The sequence below is a fragment of the Homo sapiens genome, chromosome 12 (genome assembly GCF_000001405.40).
Source record: "Homo sapiens chromosome 12, GRCh38.p14 Primary Assembly".
In the NCBI taxonomy this organism is placed as follows: Eukaryota; Metazoa; Chordata; class Mammalia; order Primates; family Hominidae; genus Homo; species Homo sapiens.
The window spans coordinates 45,212,067-45,230,788 of NC_000012.12; the positions used below are offsets into that span (position 1 = coordinate 45,212,067).

The 18,722-nt window shown below is 42.5% G+C and overlaps 1 protein-coding gene and 1 pseudogene across 5 annotated transcripts in view, besides 3 other annotated features; one reads left to right on the forward strand and one right to left on the reverse strand.

Moving 5' to 3' along the window:
* The window catches only part of PLEKHA8P1 (pleckstrin homology domain containing A8 pseudogene 1), a 42,973-nt pseudogene extending 39,033 nt beyond the window's left edge, over positions 1-3,940 (reverse strand). The window contains exon 1 of the transcript NR_037144.1: positions 3,874-3,940. The product of NR_037144.1 is annotated as a pleckstrin homology domain containing A8 pseudogene 1 (transcript). The remainder of the gene's footprint in view (positions 1-3,873) is intronic.
* Positions 3,795-3,894: an enhancer, noted in NCBI's record as "active region_6226". NCBI's record gives its function as "activates an Ori minimal core promoter by ATAC-STARR-seq in GM12878 lymphoblastoid cells {active_cell/tissue: GM12878}" and the evidence as "EXISTENCE:reporter gene assay evidence [ECO:0000049][PMID:35858748]".
* ANO6 (anoctamin 6) overlaps positions 4,029-18,722 on the forward strand; it is a 224,310-nt gene continuing 209,616 nt past the window's right edge. For all 4 annotated transcript variants that reach the window (NM_001142679.2, NM_001204803.2, NM_001025356.3 and 1 more), the window contains exon 1: positions 4,029-4,325. In NM_001142679.2, the coding sequence (NP_001136151.1) occupies positions 4,256-4,325 (70 nt within the window). In that variant the 5' untranslated portion in view covers positions 4,029-4,255. The remainder of the gene's footprint in view (positions 4,326-18,722) is intronic.
* Positions 4,355-4,664: a silencer, noted in NCBI's record as "silent region_4373". NCBI's record gives its function as "represses an Ori minimal core promoter by ATAC-STARR-seq in GM12878 lymphoblastoid cells {active_cell/tissue: GM12878}" and the evidence as "EXISTENCE:reporter gene assay evidence [ECO:0000049][PMID:35858748]".
* Positions 4,905-5,034: an enhancer, noted in NCBI's record as "active region_6227". NCBI's record gives its function as "activates an Ori minimal core promoter by ATAC-STARR-seq in GM12878 lymphoblastoid cells {active_cell/tissue: GM12878}" and the evidence as "EXISTENCE:reporter gene assay evidence [ECO:0000049][PMID:35858748]".

Below are 18,722 nucleotides of genomic sequence, written 5' to 3' on the forward strand. Positions count from 1 at the left end.
TTTCAAAGAACTCAAAACTACCATTCAACCCAGCAATCCCACTACTGGTTAAACACCCAAAGAAAAATAAATCGTCCTACTAAAAAGATGAACATGCACTGGTATGTTCACTGCAGCACTATTCACAACAGCAAAGACATGGAATCAACCAAGACACTCATCAATGATGGACTAGATAAAGAAAATGTGGTATATATATATACCATGAAATACCATGCAGCCATAGAAAAGAACCAAATCATGTCCTTTACAGCAACATGGATGCAGCTGGAGGCCATTATCCTAAGCAGATTAATGCAGGGACAGAAAAACCAAATACTGCACATTACCACTTGTAAGTAGGAACTAAACATTTAATACACATGGATACAAAGATGGAGACAATAGACACTGGAGACTGCTTAAGCGGGGAGAGTGGGAGTGGGGTGGGTTGGAAAGCTATTTATTGGGTACTACGCTCAATACCTGGGTGACAGGATCATTCATACACCAAACCTCAGCAACATACAATTTACCCATAACAAAACTGCACATGTACCCCCAGAACCTAAAATAAAAGTAGAAGAAGAAAAGAAAAGAATTTCAGGATGGCAACCACAGAATCTTTTTTAAAAAATTATTTTAAGTTCTGGGATACATGTGCAGGATGAGCAGGTTTGTTACATAGGTAAACGTGTGCCGTGGTAGTTTGCTGAACCTACCAACTCATCACCTAGGTATTAAGCCCCACATGCATTAGCTATTTATCCTGATGCCCTCCCTCCCCCCACCCCACCCCCCGACAGTGTGTGTTGTTCCCCTCCCTGTATCCATGTGTTCTCTTTGTTCAGCTCCCGCTTATGAGTGAGAACATGTGGTGTTTGGTTTTCTGTTCCTGTGTTAGTTTGCTGAGGATAATGGCTTCCAGCTTCATCCATGTCCCTGCAAAGGACATGATCTCATTCCTTTTTGTGGCTGCATAGTATGGTGTATATGTACCACATTTTCTTTATCTAGTCTATCATTGATGGGCATTAACCACAGAACATTTAAATCCCAAGTGTTAGGCCCATAAGAGTGTAGGGCTCTGTGTGAATACACTGTTTGAATGCCCATCAAGCTGACCCTGCCTGGATTAGATAGTAAAGTTATAGGACTGAATGAGTTCTATAGGGAAAGATGAGAAGAAAAGAGACCCAAGACCTGAAGCTAGAAAAGCAACAACTTTTACAGGATGGGCAGAGAAAGAATATCCTGGTGGCCAAAAGTTGTATTTAATCAGATGAATGAATGAGAAAATAATTGTTCTGCGATCCCTGACTTGAAAAAGCTTTGCAAATACAAATAACCTGGCTGTATATTAATATTTTATTTCACAAATTATTATTGTATGGATGATAATTCTTCAGGGTTAAATGTGTGGTTCTTACATAGGCCTATTATCCTATTTCTGAGGCATATATTGATTGCTCAACTGAAAAAAAATGCAGAAGAGAAGTGGTAGGAAATAAAATGGATTAGAGGAAAGAATGGAATTTACTAATAATAGAGTTCCCTTCTAGCAACAGTTACCTTTACATATAAGGCCAACAATGTTTCGCTGCAACATTTATCAAAGAAGAAAAATGTAAACTCTTAAAAATCTGTGAAGAATTCTAAATGACTAATTAAAACTTGTTGCAAAGTCAACTTCGATAATTTTTTAACTACAAAGTAACTTTGACCGAAGTCTTAGTCCATAAAAATGAGAACAAGGCCGGGCGCGGTGGCTCACGCCTGTAATCCCAGCACTTTGGGAGGCAGAGGCGGGCGGATCACGAGGTCGGGAGATCTAGACCATCCTGGCTAACACGGTGAAACCCCGTCCCTACTAAAAATACAAAAAATTAGCTGGGCGTGGTGGTGGGCGCCTGTAGTCCCAGCTACTCCGGAGGCTGAGGCAGGAGAATGGCGTGACCCTGGGAGGTGGAGCTTGCAGTGAGCCGAGATCTAGCCACTGCACTACAGCCTGGGTGACAGAGCGCGACTCTGTCTTAAAAAAAAAAAGAGAGAACATTTGGTTAAAGAACTATGGCAGGGAGTTGATGAGACTTTGAATTTTGAATTGGTGGGGGAAAAAGTGATCTGAAAAAAAAATGGATTGGGACATGTCTCTGGAGGTGGTTTATGAAGAGGCTATGAGCACTGATTCTGAAACAAGCTGTTGAGGTTTCAATCCTGGCTCCACTATTTATTCCCTGTGTGATTTTGGACAAGTTGCTCAAGTTGCCTCACACCTGAAGAAAAATGATAACACTTTCTAGGGTTGTTATGAGGGTTGAATGACTGGATGCTTATAAAACATGTAAAACTTTTCCTAGCACATAAAAAGTACTACACAAAAATTTGTTAAAAGAAAATTGTAAAAATTGATCATGTAACCAAAACACTTTTGAAGTTTCTACTTTTAGTGAGTTTCACAAGCTCAGGGGAGAGTGTTCAGTGAAAGGAAACAATCTCTTCTCATCTTTCTTCTCCCATCATTTTTTTCTCCTATCTTCAGAGTACTGTATTGTTGTCTCTTTATACTAAAAACAATTCTGTTTATTCAAAAAAAGTACCTCAAGAAGCAAGTATAGTGTTTCCCAGGTATTTTCTTAAAAGTAATTTCATCATGTCTTTTCATGTATATATTCATGTCTATTTTCCCACTTAAGATTGGTCCCAATGTTTTCTTTCTTTCAGAGAGAACATTAAAAATGTTAGGAAACTGAGGTGCAAGGATTGCTGGAGGCCAGGAGTTCGAAACCAGCCTGGGCAACATAGTGAGACACCCATCTCTACAAAAAAATTTAAGAATAAGCCCCACATGGTGGTGTGCTCCGCTTGTAGTTCTAGTTACTGAACTCCCACCTCGGCAACAGAGCGAGACCGTCTTAAAAAAAGTATGTGGAAGAAAAAACATGCACAGTAGATTTAGTGTTATTGTGATAACCCTAGCACTTCAGTGGAAAAAATATAAACAATTTCAATGAGTAGACAATAACACATATAACCAAGATTTCAAATATACCTTCTAGCCCTTTTGAGAAGTCAAAATTGAACAACCTGAATGTACCAGCTTTTTTGAAAAAAGTTTTGTAGACACGCGATCCCCAAAACCTGCCGTTCAAACAACTCCAAGGGTCTTTAAAGTACTAAATCCCTTTGTATTTGTCCTATCGGTCCCTTTGGTTTCCAGGAAAGCATTAAAAATAAAAATAAAAACTCTCTGCCTTAATTTTATTTCACGACTTTCTTTTCTCTTATTATAGCTTTCCACATTGCTTTAGAAGAGTTTACATCTAACTCTAGTGGTCTTCGGCTTCTTCTCCCTCTTTGACACAGAGGACTAGTTTCAATTGTACAAATAGGCTGGACGCTTCAGCGATTATCTTCCGACCACTCCCTGTGTGCTCGCGCGGGCGGAGTAGGGGGCGCTTCTCCACTCTCCGCGACCTCAATGTATGCGGAAATCCTCCTGCCTTTGTGCACACGTTTATTTAGAAAATTCTCTCCACCCCCACTCCCGTCCGTCCCGCCCCTTCTTCTTTTGCTTATTCTCTGAGTTTTGCCTCTCCTCCCACCCCGACTCCACCGTAATCTTAACCTACCCGTACAGATTCCACTTTCCCACTTCGGAGCTAGAGTAATTTAAGATCCCCCCATTATTAGCTCCACGTCGCCTTTAAAAGCCATTCAAACGAGTTCGCCTTCCAGGGTTCTGCAGTTGTGCTGCAGCAGCATTTCCCTCCTCTCCAGTATCAGACGTTAAAACAAAGCAAGCCACAGTGTGTGTCCACAGACGACCTTGGAACGAAAAGCTGCCCTGTTTGGGATCAATGCTCAGGGAACCCAGTCCACTCCCGCACTCACGTGTTCCCGCCTTGCCCTCCAGCTAGTTCCCCCGCGCGCAGGATCGCACTACTCCCTCTGCAGTCTCGCCTGCCGACTTCCTTCTGCGCGCCTCGTAAAACCGGGGAAGTTCAATCATTCCGCAGCGAGCCGCGGCGGCCGCACTGGGCATGCTCAGTCTCCGGGCTCCGCTCGGCAGGCGAGAGGCGTCCTCCGGCTCTGGGCTCCGGTCGGTGGGTGCCTCGGCTCGGCTTTCCCCGGCGCTGGCTGGGCTCAGCGGCCCCTGAGCCCAAGCGACACACGCCCCGCGGTCCCCGATCCGGCCCCTGGGAGAGCCGCGCCGTTCTGGAACCCGGGAGCCCCCAACTTCGCGCCAAGTTCGGAGCCGCCTTCTGAGGGAGACATGAAAAAGATGAGCAGGAATGTTTTGCTACAAATGGAGGAGGAGGAGGACGACGACGATGGGGATATCGGTGAGCGAGGGGTCCCCGCGTCCCCACCCGAGAGCCCGAGCCGACGCGGGAAGAAGTTCGGGGACTGCGCGGGGGCGCTGTGCTCTCCGCGGGGGAGGTTGGCCGAGACGCTCGGCCGCTCCGGGCAGGGGAGGAAGCCCGCTGTCCCCGGCTGCTTGCAGACTGAGGCCCCGGTGCGGCCCCTGCGGGGCTGAGGCGCGGGGCGCGTGGTGGCCCCGAGGACAGGCTCCTGACGGGCGGGGGATGCTGCCCCTGAAAAGCCTGGCAGCTGCGGGGACGCCTCTGCGTGCGGAAGTCTCCACTCAGAAGCAACTTTGGGGTCACTTCCCCGACTCGCAGAGTGCTAGGGTTGCCCAGGAGCCTCGGCACTGGGGCGAGCCCCCTGGGCGGGGTCCGGGGAGCAGGCCCGCATTTGGAGGACAGGGTGTGACCCATCTGAATCCTCGTTAAAGTAAAAGCCGACCGACGGCTCTGGGAGGTTTGAGGCCTGGCGGGGCGGCCCCGGGAAGTGATTTGTGGCCGCTAGGCGCGCGCTGGAAACCCTTTCCCATCTGCGGAGCCCACCGGAGCTGTGATCGGAGGAGGAATTCCCCCAGGCAGGGAGGACCGCAGGGCCTTTTTCACTCGTCCTGAGGGGCCCTGGGGCTTGGGGAGCAAACCTGGGGTGACCCATTTCTAGTTAGAGTTAAAAATGCATGGAAGTGACAAGACGAACGGAGGGAGAGCTGTTTTAAGAGCAAAAAAAGAAAAAAAGGGCAAACAAAAGGGATGAGAGGAGGTGAGGAAGGGGAAAGGAATGAGAGGACTAGAGAGAAAATCAGGTCCCTAAAGAGAACACTGTCGGGGGATGATGATATAATGTGTCCCTCCAGAAGACTCTAATTAAATTACCAAGCCAGTCTGTTGTGGCGACTCGGCTTAGTCTCCTGGATGCCAAATCAATTTTAAAGCAGAACATCCTGCTGATGTTCTAAAGCCCTGTTGTTATCTAATAACTTTAAAAGTAACTTAATTTTAGGAGTTGGGTGTGGTTTTTATTTCTGTTACATTTTGGGCACGGAATATTTCGATCAAAAAAATTTGGTAACTTCTTGGTTGTCCAGGGACAAATCGAATAGAGGAGATTACACTCCATGATTTAGTTTCACATTTCATTCATTCATTTAAGAACAATTTACTAGTTATTCATCTTTAAGGAGAGAGCAAATAGTAGTAGTTTTTATAGGAGAGAAAACTGAAGCGCACAGGTTGGTCTGCCCAGCTTCTCACACTTTCAAACCCAGGTTTTCTGACTTGTAAAACCAGTGAAGATTAATGCTCTTACCACTGGGTCACTCTGGCTGTTACTACTGTTTAGCAAGATTAAGTAGTACCTGATGATTACATAAAAATATAGGAGTGAAATTTAAAAAGTTACAATAAAATTGACACAGTCTGTTTCCCAGGAAAGTATTATTGTCTTTTATGGTGAGCTGCACTGTTTATAATGAGTATTGTAAGTAAATAAGGGCAGAAGCTCAAATGGAAACTGAAGTAAGCAAGAGGCTCTGAGCTTTGTTTTACTGTGCCAGCAGTAGATCTCAGTTTAGAAAGTAATTTGGTCTAGTCTGTGTTTACCTATTGAGGCATCGTATAAATTCATCTTAAGCGTGTGGCAGTAAGCTCTTTTTATTTTTAATGACATGTCATTCATGCTAGTTTTGTCCAGTCAAACAGTGTAGATAGACTTAAGAAAAAGTTAAATATCTCTACTCCTCCCCACCCTCTAGAAACTACTAATACTAATACTTTAGTGTTAATATTAGTAGGGCATTTCCCACTATTCCTGTGGGGCCCTGGGGTCTCTACTGTAGGGGTCATCTCAACATATTTTACGTCAAGCAGCAGGTACCATTTAAACAGGTCTTGGCAATATTTTTTTCTTCTCAGTGAATGAAAAGATATGCTGATGTTCTAACACCCAGTATCTATGAATGTGATTTCTGTTTCTTTCTTTCTCTTTTTTTTTTTTTTTTTTTTTTGAGATAGGGTCTCGCTCTGTCGTTTAGGCTAGAGTGCAGTGATGTGGTCATGGCTTATTACAGCCTCGACCTACGGGGCTCAAGCGATCCTCCCACTTAAGCCTCCCAAGTAGCTGGGACTTTAGGCACCACCATATCCACCTAGTTGGTTGTTTTTTTGGAAGTACAAATTTAATGTGGGTTGTAGTGATTTTATATCAGAAAATACTTAACTATGCCAATGTTAAGTTTATGCCTTTACAAAAGAATAAGCCTTTTTAAAGATTACCAGGAGTAGGCTGATAGTGGTCCAAAGCCTTTTACAAAATAATTATTATTTCCAACTGTGGGAGAGGAGACTGGTGAAATGAAGATAATTTTAACCTCTGCCTTTAATTTTGCAATGCACGTCTGTATTTACGCTATTAACTAATATTTCTCCTAGTACTTGATTGTCACTGTCAGTAGTTGTATAATAGTTTGAAACCCACTTGGGTACGGAAGATTTCTGTGAAATCCCTCTATTAATATTACCTTTATAATTCAGACTGGGAGAATTATTTTTAGAGACAGGGTCTTGCTCTGTCACCTAGGCTAGAGTGTAGTGGCAAGATCATAGTTCGCTGCAGTCTTGAACTCCTGGCCTCTAGCCATTCTGCTGCCTTTGCTTCCCAAAGCTCTGGGATTACAGGCATGAGCCACTGTACCCAGCCTTAGAATTATTTTGACACGAGTTCCTGGGTATACCATTGGGCGTTATAATGGCCTAATTTGCAAGAGACCTCCCCCTCCCCCCAAAAAAAAACTTTCTAACTGGATGGGGTCCCTGATTATATCATAGAGATGCTTTATGTATGTATATGGAAATGTGCCCTCTAGTAGCTGGAATTTAGAGCCTTTTAAACAGTGGGTTCCTGCTTACTTTTGAAACACTGTATTTTTATTGTACTTTTATTTATTCATTTAGAGACAGGGTCTCCCTCTGTCAGGCTGGAGTGCAGTGACGCAGTCACAGCTCACTGCAGCCTTGACTTCCCAGGCTCAAGCAATTCTCCAACCTTAGCCTCTTGAGTAGCTGGGACCACAGGCCTTGTGACACCATGCCTGGCCAATTTTTTTTTTTTTTTTTTTTTTGGTAGAGACAAGGTCTCACTGTTGCCCAGACTGGTTTCAAACTCCTGAGCTTAAGTGATTATCCTACCTCGGCTTCCCAAAGTGCTGGGATTACAGGTGTGAGCCACCATGCCTGGCTGTTCAGTACTTTATGTCAGTGTTGCCTCCTAGTTTAGAATGAACTGATCTGGAGAATCAAGGATAGTACATCTCACTATGGATGTCTTTTCCTTGTTTGTTTAAGTTACAGCCAGCAGAAATTATTTCCAAAGGCGTGCTTGTGTGGCAACCTGTTGGCATTAGAGCATTTTTGCAATAGGCCACTTATTTCTAAAGCAGAGCCAACAACCAACCACTGAAGCCACATCCAGGCAGTAGTAGTGGGAAATGTGTGGTTTGAAGCCCCTGTTGTGCTGGTGGAGATCACATATTGTTGCAAGCCCCTGGGAGTTAGGTTGTGTGCTACCCTGCCAAGTGTGCAAAAGAGTGTCCTTGGCTGCTTTTCGCCCCCTCATCAGCGGATTAAATTCAGCATCTCTTCTTGTTCATGTAGAATGCTATAGGAACAGCTTTTGTAGCCAGAATGCAGAAATCAGATTAGTATGCTGCTTTATTTTGTTTCTTCAATTCTGTTCTCTGTGGTCAAGCTTTGCTGAAGGAGGAAAAGTGGTTCCAAAAAAGACTATCAGGAACTATTCAGACTGTTCAGATAATGAGGTTTTGTTTGTGGATGGTTGGTTGGTTGCTTTGAGTTCCTAGTCTGTTTATGGTAGTTTACTGTCTGATCCCCATCACTAATGGTCATGTATGTCATTGAGGGGTAGACAGAGGACATGGTCCATTACCTTTGAGAGATAATGATCCAGCTATTGGCTCCCTTTTCAACTGTCACATTTTTACATAGACTTATCTTCCCACACCCACCTCTCTTTCCTTATTACCTACTTCAGGTTTAATCACCTATAAATCTGATACTAGCCCCAGTCTTCCTTCATAAACATTGATTGAGCAATCCTTCTGTGCTAGTTTCAGGATTAGGTGCTGGGTCAGGTGTTGGGAGACTGAAAATGAGTAAGACATACCTGTGTCTTCCAGGAGAAAAGTTCCTTAGAACCAGACTGTGATATTGTGAAATATATAAGGCATTCTTCCAGTTTCTTGGCATGCAACTCCTAAAACTTTTGGAATTTTCAAAGTGGTAAGTGTCTTTTTGTATGCTAATAAGTTGACAGATGGCTGGCAGCCCCTAGGTAGCTTCCTGATGGGGGCTGGTCACTGGAAAGACCAAGGCAGGATTAAAGGTTTGGACTTCCAGCCCCATCTACCAACCTGAAGAGGGGTAAGAGCCAGGCTGAAGGTTAAGCTGATCACCAGTGGCTAATGATTTAATCAATCATGCCTATGTAATAAAGCCTCCATAAGAACCCAAAAATTCTGTGCGCTGCCCTGGCAAATTAATGGAACCCAAAGAGGGTGTTGCAAGAACCTCAATTTGTAGCCGGTGGGTCAGAAACCCAGGCAAAACAACCTGGGGCCTGTGATTGGTGTCGGAAGTGGGGGGGGGCAGCCTTGTAGGACTGAGCCCTCAATCTGAGCTCTGAGGCTTACTGCAGGTGGATAGTATCCGAATTGAGTTGATTTAGAGGACGCCCAGCTGGCGTTCATTGCTGAACAACTACTTGCTTGTCATGTGGGAAGAACTCTTCCCACATCTGGTGATAAACGTATTCTGTGTTGATTGTATTGAGAGTACAGAAGGAGAACCTGAGTTTGGTTTTCTCTGCATCATCAGACAGAGATTTGCAATAAAAGGTACATATAAAACTGAAGGGAGAGACTGGGAGAGAGCTTCACAGAAGAGATTTTTGGGTCAGATGCTGAAAGACTAGGAAAATGTAGTGCAGAGATGGCCGGAGGAGAGTCTGGAGTTCCAAATAGTTGCCTGCTAGGGAAGGCAGGGAGAGGCTATGCCGTGAAGGATCCTCCATACACTTTAAGGATTTTGGGTTTTACTCTGTATGTGATTTGGAGCTCCTGAAGGATGTTAATGAAAAGAGTGATAGGATTGGATTTGCTTTTGGAAAGATCTCCATGGTAGCACGTTCTAAAATGGGTTGGGAAAGGAGACAGTAGAGCTAAGCCTTTCCAGTAGTTGGGGTCAGAAATGCCTGCAGTGGTCATGGAATAGAGAAGAATGGGTCTGACAGCTTTATGAAAGAGGCGCCATCTGTGGGTTCTCAGCTGCTGATTGTTTCCGGCAAGCAGAGAGGAGCCCAGGATGATGGTGGCAGGAGGAGAGAATTTTCTGTTCCAACTAGTCTTTTAATTTTCCCCTCTGACCATTGGCTCAGACCATTCTCCCTCCCCGACTCCTTTTTTTTTTTTTTTTTTTTGGGAGACGTTGTCTTGCTCTGTTGCCCAGGCTGGAGTGCAGTGGCGTGATCTCAGCTCACGGCAAGCTCCGCCTCTTGGATTCACTCCATTCTCCCACCTCAGCCTCCCAAGTAGCTGGGACTACAGGCCCCCGCCACCACACCCAGCTATTTTTTTTGTATTTTTAATAGAGGCGGGGTTTCACCGTGTTAATCAGGATGGTCTCATCTCCTGACCTCGTGATCCGCCTGTCTCAGCCTCCCAAAGTGCTGGAATTACAGGCATGAGCCACCACGCCCGGCCCCCCCACTCCAGCTCTGTTGCCCAGGCTGGAGTGCAATGGCTCAATATCAGCTCACTGCAACCTCCGCCTCCCGGGTTCAAGTTATTCTCCTGCCTCAGCCTCCTAAGTAGCTGGGATTACAGGTGCCCACCACTGTGCCCGGCTAATTTTTGTATTTTTAATAGAAATGGGGTTTCGCCATGTTGGCTAGGCTGGTTTCGAACTCCTGATCTCAGGTGATCCGCCTGCCTCGGCCTCCCAAAGTGCTGAGCAGGCGTGAGCCACCATGCCTGGCCAGACCATTCCCCTTCATAGTAATTTCAGCCTCACCTCCTCTTTTTCTCAGTGGTTCCCTGTGATATTATGACACATATGTTTTTGTCCATGGTTCCTGGCTTATAACTACCATAACTCTTGCTATAATGTTGGGGTGCTTTAGGCCTCAGAAGCAGAAGCAGGCCTCAGAAAACAATCTCCATCTTTGACCTGCCCTATTTTTACCTTTGTCTCTCCAATTTTAGAAACTAAAACTATAATCTTTCCCCATCTTTCTGTGTGAGAACTGCCCATAAAGAAATTCTCCCATCTACCTTGTCTGAATGTAGGCCATAAGACCCCCATTTCAGAAGGGATCCTGCCCCATACCCTGGAGGAAGGAATGCTGCACAGAGATGCCAGAAAAATCTGATCAGACAGGCCTTGCTGGGTTTCCCCATTCAGTCTATTAGTATTAAATCGTATGCTTTTTGTCCAATCACTTTTCAACATGGTTCAATCATGACTATCCAATGAAGTCTCCATAAAGGTCCAAGAGGACTGGTTCAGGGAGTTTCTGGATAGCTGAACAGTGGAGGTACCTGAAGGTAGCTTGCCCTGGGAGGGCGTGAAAACTCAGTGCCTTTTCCCGCATACCTCACTCTATGCATCTCTTCATCTTTATCTTTTATAATAAACTGGTAAACGGGAAGTGTTTCCCTGAGTTCCCCAAGCCACTACAGCAAATTAATGGAACCCAAGGAGGGTGTCGTGGGAACCCCAATTTATAAACAGTTCATCAGAAGCATAGGTAAAATGACCCGGGGCTTGTGATTGGCATCAGAAGTAGTGGGGGGCAATTTTGTGGGACTGAACCCTTAACTGTGGGATCTGACACCATCTCCAGGTAAATAGTGTCAGAATTCACTTGGAGGATACCCAGCTGGTATCCACTGCAGAATTGATTGCTTGCTTGTTGCTGGGGAGAAATCCTTGCACATTTGGTCACTGAAGTCTTCTGTGTTGATTGTTGAATAAGAGAATAGAAAAAACACTTAGTGTTTTTCTGCTCACAGCCTCCCTCCCCTCCCAAGTCTGTCACAAACCCAGAAAGTTGTTAATGATCCTCTTAGCCCAAAGTGCTCACAATGAATTCTCACTTATTTTTTTGTTCTATGCAGTTAGCATTCATCCTGTATTTTGTCTTTGTTATTCATTATCTTTGCGTTTATCATTCCCATAACCATAGTGTACATTTCTTGGTGACTGGCCTAGGTTATTTAAGTCTTCTAGAGATCATGCAAAATATCTTAAATATTGTACATATTCCATTGCTATAATTTTTAAGAGTTGTCTCTTTTCCTCATTCTCCTCTAAAATGTAAGCTCCCTGAAGACTGGTACCTTGTGTGTTTTGTGTTTTAAGCTGTGTCCCTCATGGCACCTTGGTAGGAGCCAAGCAAGTAATTGTGGAAGGAATGGATGATTTATTCTTCTAAGATAACTTGATTAACATAATGCCTAGTGGTTTTATGGCCCTAGTAGAATTTTCTTCTTCTGTGGCACTTTGAGATACCCCCAGTTATCTGTTCTAAAAATGCTGAGTGTATGTATTTTACCAGGCACTCTGCTAGGTTCCAGGTTCACTGTTCTCTAGTACCTCACTGTCTAGAAAGGAAACGGATAATTTCAGTAACTTGTGATTAATACTGTAATCAAGATCTGTACCAGGTTCAGTGGTGATACCAAGGAGAAAGCACGTGACCTTGCCTAGGGGAATCCAGGACAGCTCTATTGGGGCAGCACCTGAGCCAGCCCTGTTGGGATGAAAAGACAGGTGAGGGCATGGGGCTAGGACAGCAGAGCGTCCTGAGTGTTTCTAAAGGCATGATGATTTCTCAAAAATTAAATCTTGATACACCCTGGCCTTATTCACGATGGCAAGGGGATCATGTTGTGTACATATCATAAATATATACACATGTATAAATATGTATACATTATATATACATATGTGTGTGTGTGTCTGTATGCACACTCTCTACCAAGGAGATGACAGCTAAAAACAAAGCAAACTATCCTCAAACTCTCTTTTAGAATAGTCTTGCTTCTTTTTATAAACCTTTTGTTATTTTCAGTTTCAAGTCCACAGACATGATTTATCTTGCACATTCTTTCAAGTCAAATAATAGCTTTCCAAAAGGTCCTCCAGTATCCTCTTAAAATACTTTATTTGGTTCTGAGACAAACACAGCTCTAAAAGAATAAGAGTTACTCTTACTTAATTTGTATTTTAGCTGTATACACACTCGTCTTTTCTCAAGGGGTTGCAGCAGTCACATATGTCGATTGCTCTACATTTATTATTTTTTCTTTTGGGAGCCTAGAAATTTAGACCAAATGCTCCTATGAAAATTTCCATCAGTTATATGGGATTTTAATTCTGATATTCTTGAAGGGAGATTATAAAGGATTAAGAATACCGGAAATAAAGGGCCGGACATGATGGGTCATGCCTATTATCTCAGCACTTTGGGAGGCCAAGGTGGGAATATTGCTTGAGCGAAAGAGTTTGAAACCAGCCTGGGAAACATACTAAGACCCAATCTATACAAAAACTGCAAAAATCAGTTGGGCATGGCACATGCCTGTGGTGCCAGCTGCTTTGGAGGCTGAGGTGGAAGATTCAATTGAACCCAGGAAGCCAAGGCTGCAGTGAGCTGTCATTGTGCCACTGCAGTCCAGCCTGGGCAACAGAGACCCTGTCTCAAAAAAAAAAAAAAAAAAACTCACGATTTGGCTTTAAATTAAAGGATGATATTGATCTCTTAGTGATATCTGTAGCAGATGATTAAAATGATTGTATTTTAATAAGTTTTCACTCTAATCCTTTAGGTTTTCTTCTGTTACACTTTACTTGGTGTGTATTTTGTATTTTAGCTGTACATCTTAACCAAAAACACTCGTCTTGAAGCGGGGAGAAGATTTCTTATTCATCTTTGTATCTCACAGCCTGAATATCGTAATGTTTTTCACATAGTAGATGTTCAACAAAACATATGTTTTGGGACATTTTTAGATTTTTTTTTTTTGAGATGGAGTCTTACTCTTTTTCCTAGGCTGGAGTGCAGTGGCAAGATCTGGGCTCACTGCAAGCTCCACCTCCCAGGTTCACGCCATTCTCCTGCATCAGCCTCCCGAGTAGCTGGGACTACAGGCACCCACCACCACGCCCGGCTAATTTTTTTGTATTTTTAGTAGAGACGGGGTTTCACCCTGTTAACCAGGTTGGTCTTGATCTCCTGACTTCGTTATCCTCCCGCCTCGGCCTTCCAAAGTGCTGGGATTACAGGCGTGAGACATTTTTAGATTTTAATGGAAGCTTTGCATGCCATATGATTTAAGCTGTCTGATTATAATGAATTCAGGGCTGGGTCTGTGCAAGAGTAGTCAATTTTAGAACAGAAAATATTTCCAATTACCTTTAGCCAACGAAATGTACTACTCAACTGATTGGTAAATCATATGTAAAGATACAGATTGAAGGAATTTTATTCAGCCAAATGATTGTCTTATGACATTATTTTTTTTTCTTTAGTTTTGTATTTTGGTCATTGCAACTAAAATTAATTAGCATCCATCCCAAAAAGCAGTTTGAAGAATACTGGTAGATGAGTATGTCAACAATAGAATATTTTGGACATGGACCAAAGAGCAATTCAAATACTGTTCAGCCAAAACACATCAGATGGAACACTTGCATAGAAGACAAGTTGAAGGGTTAATAGGCAACTTTCTCTGCCATGGTAATTATTATTGCCCTGGCTACATGTTTGAATACTAATTGAAAGATCTTGCTGCAGTAAGTTATTCATCAGCCAGAAATACAAGTGAAAGAAAATGTATTCTTTTGTGAAGTCCAAATGTTGCTTTTATATCTAATGCTTTCATAATAGTACATTGGAATTCTACTATTTCCCACACTATTTTAAAGTACAAATACTTGAAATTGAAAAAAAAAGGGACATTGGCACTTAAAGTTCTCTTTTCTAATATTTATTATAACTTTGGCAGAACTTTAGCCTTAGGTCAAAGCCATGCAAATAGATGTTCTTTTACAGAGTACAATTATGCAAATTACAGGCTTATTTATAAAGCTTGTTTTATCTAAACTAAGATTTTGTTTATATAATTGAATTTTTTGTGATTTCTGTAGACATTCTATCTAGATGTTTGAAAAATAATCTTTGGCTTTGCACAAACAAAATGATGGCTAAAGTTTTCTTGTGGTGTCACATAGTCACAGTCTTATACATGCTTTTTTTCTGATTTGTACTAAATTTTTAAGAAAAATATATTTCCCACTAAATTCTAAAGAAAGATAATACATTTTCTCTGCATATGAAACTCAATAAGATCCTTAACATTATTTAAAAATTTTTATTATAATTTATATTATGATTTGAAACAATTGCATTGTTTCTTCCTATTAAACAAGCTGTGAATGCCTAAATTGCATAAAACATAAGATATTCTTTATTTAAAAAAATTAACAAAAATTATCATTTTCTTTTTTTTTTTTTTTTTTTTTGAAGATGGAGTCTTGCTCTGTTGCCCAGGCTGGAGTGCAGTGGCACGATCTTGGCTCACTGAAACCTCTGCCTCCTGGGTTCAAGCTATTCTCCTGCCTCAGGCTCCCGAGTAACTGGGATTACAGGTGCACGCCACCATGCCTGGCTAATTTTTTGTATTTTTAGTAGAGACAAGGTTTCACCATGTTGGCCAGGCTGGTCTTGAGCTCCTGACCTCAAGTGATCCACCCGCCTTGGCCTCCCAAAGTGATACCCATAGTAAAGAAACCGTTTACTGATCTTAGATGCTGCTTAAGAAGAAAGAAAAGTAAAAGGAGGAAAGATGAACTTATATAGGTAATTGGCTGCTGTTGATATAGAGTGTTAAGGAGTGAAGAGGAAAGTCTTACGGTCAGATGACCTCAGTTTATGGTCACCTAGCACCTTGTGCCATGTCCCCTAGAATTGATTGAATGACACAAGCTTCTCAGCCTCTCTGAGCCTGTTTCTTCAGTCCTGTGTGGTTGCTGGGAGGATGCGAGGTGGTATGCACAGTACTGGACAAGGGGCCCTTTTCACTTAGACACTTATGAGGGCAGTTACATTATCACCCTCATAATAAATTCTTTTTCTTTTTCTTTTTTTTTTAGATAAAACTGTCATGGAAACTGCTACTTTTAACTCCTGATCACTAAGTCTTTTCCCATCAAACATTGCTGTCCATTTTTGTTGCTTTCTATCATGTTATGCATATAGGAACTGCTCAATAGTGGTATTATGCCTGTAGGAACTGCTCAACAAGTGTAAGTGTCAGATTAAGGGTAATGACAGTGGCTGTGCTGCAGACACATGCATTTAAAGATAAAGGTGGTTGAAGAATTGCATGTGGTTTCTGCAAAGAGCAAAGCGATAATTATTGTGTGTGTTTTTTCCTATCTTGCAGATCTTTGGGCAGACTGACAATATTCTGTTGATGCCAAGAAACTATTTTAGGGGGAATCTCTTTCAGGGAAATCTTAGCAAAAGATCCTAGGGGCTGACACACAGTGGCTCCCAATAAATGGCTCATGAATGTAGGGATTATAGTTCCATCAGTGGTCCCTGTGGCCTATCCTATTCTCCTAGGCTTTTTGTGTTGTTTTTTTTTTTTTTTTTTTTGACAGGGTCTCTTTCTGTTGCCAGGGCTGAAGTGCAGTAGTGGAGTAGCGCAATCATGGCTCACTGTAGCATTGACTCCCAGACTCAATTGATCCTCTTACCTCAACCTCCTGCGTATCTGGGACCACAGGTATGCACCAGGCCCTCCTTTTTTTTTTTTTTTTTTTTTTTTTTATTATTAGAGATTGGTCTCACTATGTTGCCCAGCTGGTCCCAAACTCTTGGGCTCAAGCAGTCCTCCCGCCTCAGCCTCTCAAAGTGCTGAGATTACAGGTGTGAGCCACTGCACCTGCCCAAGCAGTTCTAATTAAAGTATGCATGCTCCTTTGTGTCATTGTATAGTTGTATGCACAAAAAGTGCGGAAGGAAACATTTAAGAAGTTATAGCTTTTATTACAGTTCGAGTCTTTAGAATATCACAGGAGAACAGAGGAGGGAAGATTAATAGTGAGAATCTCGTGGTTAGAGTTCTACATGATTCTGTTCTTAGGACTGGAGACATGGAAATACGGAGGAATCTTTCAGAGCTCACTGTTCGCTAGTGGGAGGGCAGTATTTGGTGGAGGCAGGGCAGTCAGGTAGCACCTGGGGGAAAGGATCTTGACTTCATGTTTAAAACCTGTTTGACCTCTTCATCCTTCCCACTCACGTTCCACCTTGCCAGTTGTCAACTGTTGTGTATGCAGGCAGCATCAGTTTCTGCCCCTCATTTCTCTAAGAATCTTCTAAAATTGGAGATTATCTTGGGTCTCTGAGACAGGACCTTCTTCTCATCCACCCTCATATCCCTGCACAGTCTCAGAACTATGGTAATGCTGTGGTAATCTATAGCCACTTGGGTCTGGAGGGGAGAAGGAGAGACTAGGCCATGTACTGGAGCAGATCCACCTTCCAAGCCCCCAGCTAAGTGTGGGTATTACAGATGAGGTGAAGGTGATCTTTTCTCAGGGTCCGGGATGAGAAGCTGAAAACCTGAATTAGATTATAAGTACTTATGGAGATTAAAAGAAAAGGATACTCTTCTCTGTGGTGAAAGATTATTTCTGCCATCTGTTACAGATATAGATAGCCTCACCTTAATTTGGCCAAGGGTGTGGACAGGCACCCTGCTGTATGTACTGTGGAGAGCTATGTTGAGGAAGAAATGGGCTTCCACGCTGGCCTGTGATCCTTTTAATGTTCCCATGTCAGCCTCTTTTCTTATTCTTGGGCTGTCTATCAATCTCCTCAGTTTTTTTTATTTTTAGTTTTTTTTTTTTTTTTTGAGACAGTGTCTCACTCTGTCGCCCAGGCTGGAGTGCAATGGCGTGATCTCAGCTCACTGCAACCTCCACCTCCTGGGTTCAAGCGAGTCTCCTGCCTCAGCCTCCCGAGTAGCTGGGACTACAGGCGCCTGCCATCACGCCCAGCTAATTTTTATGCTTTTAATAGAGACGGGGTTTCACCATGTTGGCCAGGATGGTCTCGATCTCTTTACCTTGTGATCCGCCTGCCTTGGCCTCCCAAAGTGCTGGGATTACAGGCGTGAGCCACTGCGCCCAGCCTTATTTTAGTTTTTTTAATTCTACCTCTGTCCCATTATTTTCATCAGACAGCTTAGCCTGGCTCTGCACAGAGATGGAGACCTGCCACTACTTAAGCTTTGGTTTTAGACAGATTTGAGTTCAAATTCTGGCCTAGACATTCATCAGCCATGTGACCCTGAATGATTAACACAACTTCCCGCCCACCCCCCACCCGTAAGATGGAACGAATGTTAGAACCTACTTCATACGAAACGGTTGTATCAAATGAAGAATGCCATTTAAAAATCTCACTTTGCAGGATGATGGTGCCTGATACAGTGAAAGCCTTCCAATAATTATAAGGTAACATTATTAATATTGTGGGTAGTTGCTTTTACCTAAGTCTTAACCCAGTCTTACCTCTTTTGTTTTTTATTAGAGATTTCGCCTTTCCCCCAAGGCTGTTCCTTCCACTTATACAGCTCATTGTCACTTTTTGTCTTTTCCATTAAACTGGGAGTATCTTGAGGAAAACTTTCACTTCAGTGAGCAGCATAGTGCCTGATGCGTAGTAGGCAATCAGTAAGTTTTTGTTAAATCTATGGGTAAATGAATAAAAGATAATGATTATTGAAGAGCTATGTGATATGACTGAAAAGGACCTGGTCTTGAGCAGCTTCTTATAACTTTGGGGCCTTGGTTTCCATATCAGAAAAATGTAGGGATAATACAGAAGGGGTAATGATACTCTACTTGGACTATTATAATATTAATATGTATAAAATATTTAACATATATAAAATATAAATTATATATACAAAATACATAATTGATATATATAAAATATACAAGGGATGGTTCCTTGCATGGTCATTGTAAAACAACTAAACGGAGAAATATAAGTGAGGTCATTTAAATAAAATTGCATTTTCCAGTAGATGCATTTCACAACAGAATTGTATCACTTTAAATATATAATTTTAGTATGAAAGGTAAGGTTCATAATAGAATCAGATGACATTTTGATAGTCTTTCTACTAAAGAAAATATCTATGGAATAAGAGCATTTCTTAATTTAGCAAATTTAAGATTTTAAAGTGTCTTGTATTAAGGTCTAAAAAGTAGTGTTCTTGATATTGA